The sequence below is a fragment of the Homo sapiens genome, chromosome 1 (genome assembly GCF_000001405.40).
Source record: "Homo sapiens chromosome 1, GRCh38.p14 Primary Assembly".
NCBI lineage: Eukaryota > Metazoa > Chordata > Mammalia > Primates > Hominidae > Homo > Homo sapiens.
In genome coordinates this window covers 235,089,586-235,095,585 of record NC_000001.11, presented here as the reverse complement: position 1 = coordinate 235,095,585, position 6,000 = coordinate 235,089,586, and the positions used below count along the sequence as shown (strand labels likewise).

At 53.5% G+C, this 6,000-nt stretch overlaps 2 annotated features.

Moving 5' to 3' along the window:
* Positions 1,546-1,705: an enhancer, noted in NCBI's record as "active region_2791". NCBI's record gives its function as "activates an Ori minimal core promoter by ATAC-STARR-seq in GM12878 lymphoblastoid cells {active_cell/tissue: GM12878}" and the evidence as "EXISTENCE:reporter gene assay evidence [ECO:0000049][PMID:35858748]".
* Positions 1,671-2,254: an enhancer, noted in NCBI's record as "H3K4me1 hESC enhancer chr1:235256647-235257230 (GRCh37/hg19 assembly coordinates)". NCBI's record gives its function as "activates a minimal SCP1, AML or CMV promoter by ChIP-STARR-seq in naive H9 embryonic stem cells {active_cell/tissue: H9 hESC(naive)}" and the evidence as "EXISTENCE:reporter gene assay evidence [ECO:0000049][PMID:30033119]".

Below are 6,000 nucleotides of genomic sequence, written 5' to 3'. Positions count from 1 at the left end.
CTCCGCCTCCCAAAGTGCTGAGATTACAGGCGTGAGCCACCGTGCCTGGCCACACGTGGAAAAAACATTCTGATCTGGCTGGGCGCGGTGGCTCACGCCTGTAATCCCAGCACTTTGGGAGGCCGAGGCGGGCGGATCACGAGGTCAGGAGATCAAGACCACCCTGGCTAACACGGTGAAACCCCATCTGTACTAAAAATACAAAAAAAAAAACAAACAAAAACAACAACAACAAAGAAAACATTAGCCGGGCGTGGTGGCGGGCCCCTGTAGTCCCAGCTACTGGGGAGGCTGAGGCAGGAGAATGGCTTGAACCTGGGAGGAGGAGCTTGCAGTGAGCCGAGATCGCGCCACTGCACTCCAGCCTGGGCGACAGAGTGAGACTCCGTCTCAAACAAAAACAAAAACAAAAAACCAAAACATTCTGATCCATGAACCTTTGGATTTCTCTGGGAGGAAACAGGTCTCTGCTCCAGCACTTCGCACTTATTATGGGGCTCTTGGGAGAAGGCAAGAGGGAGAGATGGAGGATGTTGGTCTCCATGCAGGATCACGGCTGCCGGGCACGGTGGCTCACGCCTGTAATCCCAGCACTTTGGGAGGCCGAGGCGGGCAGGTTGCCTGAGCTCAGGAGTTCGAGACCAGCCTAGACAACAGGGTGAAACCCCGTCTCTACTAAAATATAAAAAATTAGCTGGGCACGGTGGCGTGTGCCTGTAGTCCCAGCTACTCGGGAGGCTGAGGCAGGAGAATTGCTTGAATCCAGGAGGCAGAGGATGCAGTGAGCTGAGCGCCGCCTGGACGACAGAGTGAGACTCCATCTCCAAAAAACAAACAAACAATAAAAAAGATCACGGCTTCTCTGGAACAACAGCTCAAGCTGTGTGTGTGATAGTTAACTTTATGTGTCAACTGGGAGGGTGTTTTTGTATGAGATCAACATTACAGCCAGGCATGGTGGTGCACACCTGTAATCCTAGCTACTTGGGAGGCTGAAGTGGGAGGATTGCTTGGGGCCAAGAGTTTGAGGCTGCATTGAACTATGATTGTGCCACTGCACTCTAGCCTGAGCAACATAGCAGGATCTCATTTTATATTTAAAAAAATCCCAAAACATATTGGTAAACTCTGAGTAAAGCAGAGGCCCTCTCTAATGTCGGTGGGTCTCATCCAATCAGTTGAAGATCTAAGTAGAACAAAAAGACTGGCCTTCCCAAGCGAGGGAAGTTATCCGGCAGAACGCCCTGGGACTTCTCTGCACCTTCCGCTCTCCTGGGTCTGGACTGTGCTGGCCCACGCCTTGGGTTTAGGACCTGCCAGCCTCCACAATCACGAGCCCATTCCTCAACGTGAAACTCTTCCTCTCTCTACACACATCCTGTTGGTTTTGTTTCCCTGGAGAACTGTAATACAGCATGTCCCGCTGATCCTGGCTTATTTGTACCAGATCTTAGACTTTCAGTCAAGGGGCCCTCATAGATAAACTGCTTCAATCTTCCAGGAAACCCCTATACCAAAAACTCATGCTGCTCGGCCCGCCTCTCAGCGCCTTCTTGGTGTGCTTGGGCGCCATCTAGTGCCTACCGCAGGCACTGCGATGACCTACCCGCCTCTTTCATCTCTATCATCACCGGTTTAATTCCTTAAGCACATATTAGTAGACCTCCATATTCGTGTGCATCATTCGCTCTTCTGTTCGCTCAACAAACATTTAGCGAAGGTTTGTTTATGCACAAGGCATTGCCACAGATGCAAGACCGCCCAGCAGGTGGCTTCTCCCCTTTGTGGAACTCACAGATCAGCTGGAGACAGGGAATAAATGCAGATTACAGTCAGGTGAGAGCAGGGCCACGCGGAAAGCATGATAAAGAGCTCAGGAGCTAAGGGGGTGAGCAAGGGGGACTGCGGGGAGGGCCACTGTCGATGCAGTGTTTACTGCGTTCCAGGCGTGGAGTGGGCTCTGGACACACAGGGGTGACCGTCACTCCCCGTAGCAGCATCCAGCCTGCTGGGGCCTCCTCTCCCCTGCTTGCATTCGGATTGCGCTCTAGGACAGTTCGTGATGGTCCCCAGGCCACAGCACCGAGAATGACTTCCTTGCATTTGCCAGAGTGTGGCAGTGGTTCTTCAAAAATCAGGCTCTGCACTTGGAAGCTCCAGGCGAGACACTTGGGCTGCAGCTCCTGAGGGCTGCCTTGCTGGGAAGGGGTGGGGACGTCCCGCCGGGGATCAAGGTGAAGGTGGGTGTGTGGCCGGATCCCTGCTTGTTTCCTGCTCCCTAGGGCCTAACTCCTCACCCCTCACTCTGCTGAGAATTGATGAGGAGGAAACAAGGGGAAGGCTTTGGGTCCTCGTACCCCTGTTGTCCAGGCTCCCGCCCCGTTCGGACGACCAGCGCTTCCCGGCTCCCCGTCATGCTTCCCCATGGGACTCCAGTCAGCAAGGATCCCGCTGAGTTCACACGTGCTCAGGGAGTGGCCCTGAGACTTGGGTGCTCCTTCCCATGAGGCTGACTGTGCTGGCGAAGCCACTGTAAGCCAGTAGTAATGATCACTCCGGGCCTACTGTGTGCTAGATGCTGAGTGCTGTTACTTAAGTCACCTCTAACCCTCTAACCTTTTTTTTTTTTTTTTTTTTTTTTTTTTTGAGACAGAGTTTCACTCTTGTTGCCCAGGCTGGAGTGCTGTGGCACAATCTCGGCTCACTGCAACCTCCGCCTCGCGGGTTCAAGTGATTCTCCTGCCTCAGCCTCCTGAGTAGCTGGGATTACAGGCATGTGCCACCATGCCCGGCTAATTTTGTATTTTTAGTAGAGATGGGGTTTCTCCATGTTGGTCAGACTGGTCTTGAACTCCCGACCTCAGGTGATCTGCCCGCCGCGGCCTCCCAAAGTGCTAGGATTACAGGCGTGAGCCACCGCGCCCGGGCAGTCACCTCTAACCCTTCTAAACCTTTCTAGGTGGTGTTCTTGTTTCACACGGATGTGGCAATTGGCTCAGAGGGTTGAGGTCATTAACAGGAGAAGTGAGGCGGGGGCGGTGGCTCAGGCCTGTAATCCCAGCACTTTGGGAGGCCAAGGCAGGTGGATCACTTGAAGTCAGGAGTTTAAGACCAGCCTGGTCAACATAGTGAAACCCCATCTCTACTAAAAATACAAAAGTTAGCCGGGCGTGGTGGCGCGCGCCTGTAGTCCCAGCTGCTCGGGAGGCTGAGGCAGGAGAATCGCTTGAACCCGGGAGGCGGAGGTTGCAAGATCACACCACTGCACTCCAGCCTGGGGGACAGAGCAAGACTCCGTCTCAAAAAAACAAAACAAAACAAAAAAACCCCAGCAGAAGTGAGCATGGAGCTGACTGAGGTTGGCCTGGTTCCAAGTCCCTGTCCTCATATACCCATTCCTGCTGCCCAAGCAGGCAGTTGTGGTGGATGGGAGAAGGCAGGGGGGTTCCTTGCGAGCTTATGGCTTCTCTCTCTCTCTCTCTTTTGAGATAGGGTCTTGCTCTGTTACCCAGGCTGGAGTGCAGGGGCACCATCATAGATTGTTGCAGCCTCCAACACCTGGTCTCAAGTGATCCTCCCACCTCAGCCTCTCGAGTAGCTGGGACTACAGGCATGCACCACCATGCCCGGCTAATTTTTAGATTTTTTGTAGAGATGGGATCTTGCTATGTTGTCCGGGCTGGTCTTGAACTCCTGGCCTCAAACAATCCTCCCGCCTTGACCTCCGAGGTGCTGGGATTACAGGCGTGAGCTACCATGCCTGTATTGCATCTCTTTTTTTTTTTGAGACGGAGTCTTGCTCTCGTCAACCAGGCTGGAGTGCAATGGCGCAATCTCAGCTCACTGCAGCCTCCACCTCCCGGATTTAAGCGATTCTCCTGCCTCAGCCTCCTGAGTAGCTGGGTTTACAGGCACGTGTCACCGTGCCCGGCTAATTTTTGTATTTTTAGTAGAGACAGGCTTCACCATGTTGATCAGGCTCGTCTTGAACTCCTGACCTCAGGTGATCCACTGCCTCGGCCTCCCAAAGTGCTGAGATTACAGGTGTGAGCCACTGCGCCTGGCCACATCTCTCTCTAGAGACCTCTCCACCCTGGGGACAAGCCTGAGTCTCGGCCCTAAGGAGGGGCTTGCACCGCCTCACCCACCCATTCCTTCGACAGATCTGACTCCATGCCAGTCACTGAGGCCTAACATGGGTTGAGGGAGACCCAGGATTCTTCTTTCTGAGAATCTTGCCATCTATGGGGGATGTCACCATTATCCAGCCCTAGTCTATCATTCACAGGTGAGAAGACTGCAGTCAGGGAGGTCGGGGGTGCTGAGCCCTGGTTTCCTGCTGTGGGGTACATCACTGTCATTCCCCCCGGGATGAAGTGGCATCTGGAATGCCGCCTTTGAGCTGTACTTCTGCCTTCCCATGTTTATTCCTAAGCTCTGCCCAGTGCTTCTCACAGAGTGGGCATCTCTTAGACGTTCCAAAATTGTGGACGACTGTGCAACACAGTCTCCTCTGGAAGGGCCATGTGGACCGTGGGAATCGAGTGACGTCTGGTCTTCAGTGTGGGAGCTTCCTGGTTACAGGTGGCCTCCTCCTCTTAGCAAGACAGGAGCTGCGTGTGTCTTCCGATGCCCAGATCCTGCTCGGATAGCAGCGCTCCCTGTTCCACGAAATCCTCTGGCGAATCAGACAGTGGGTCCTTGATAAAATCAGTAACACGTGCCCCAGCTCTCCCCGCCGGGACCGCAGTAAATCTTCACATTTTTGCCACATCACTGCTTCTCTGACAGCTCAAGATGTTTTTCTGCTTCTGAGGATCCCTTTATTAAAAGCCTTGGAGCCCCACGGACGTGTTAAGCAGTGCTCCCTCTGGCGCCTCCCTGCCTTGCCATTTTCCCAGCTCAGCTTTTGCCTCTCTGTGTCTCCCACAAGCTTTCCACATCACTCATTCTGACATTTGAAAGTTTCCAAGCTTGTTCTGAAATGCTACAAACACTGCCATTGTTATGTGCCAGGCTTGGAATGCTGAGAATCCCAGGACGCTGGAGATGGGGCTTCGAGCCTTGCAGGGGAGCTGAGCAGCTGCACAGGGCCTGGGGATGTGGGTTGAGGACGAAGGCTGCTCCTGTTCCTCTGTGGACCGCACCAGGTCCAGTGGCTGCTGCCTTCCTGGCCTTCCTCCATTCCCACTGCACCAGGCCGTGGTTCTGTGCTTCCCACAGACTCACTCCAGCCACTCCATTTACTGAGGAAAATCACCCCTCTTTCCCACATTGCATGATTTCTTCTGCTTGGAGATAGGTCTGCTTGCTTGTGACAGGTTCTTTAGTTTTCAGGAGACGATATCAGAGAAAACAAACCTTGACGTGTTTGGGTTTTGGGTGTCCAGCCATGAGGTCTGTCTTCCTACAGCTTTTTTTTTTGAGACGGAGTCTCACTTTGTTGCCCAGGCTGGAGTGCAGTGGTGCAATCTTGGCTCACTGCAACCTCTGCCTCCCGAGTTCAAGCGATTCTCCTGACTCCAGCTCCTGAGTAGCTGGGACTACAGGCACATGCCTCCATGCCTGGCTAATTTTTGTATTTTTAGTAGAGACGGGGTTTCACCATGTTGGCCAGGCTAGTCTCGAACTCCTGACCTCAGGTGATCCACCCTCCTCAGCCTCCCAAAGTGCTGAGCCACTGTGCCTGGCCTGTCTTCCTATAGTTCTTATGCTAGCTGAAGTGCTGTTTTCATTAAGATTCATATCCAGTTAGCTTTGCCCACAGGTGCTATTTTTGCAGGTACGCAGCGCTCTTGCAGGCCACTGGGACCTGCTGGCGTCTGGAGTGCCGCCTTCCAGCTGTGCCGCTGTCTTTCTGTGCCTCTTTCTCACAGAGTGGGCCCCTTTTAGTTTCCAGCACTCTGAATGATGGCGCAAACACTGCTGTACCCCAAATCTTCGGTGGCACACCACACTCCAATTCTGCTTTAGCCGCACAGGTTTCAGCAAGACACCCTG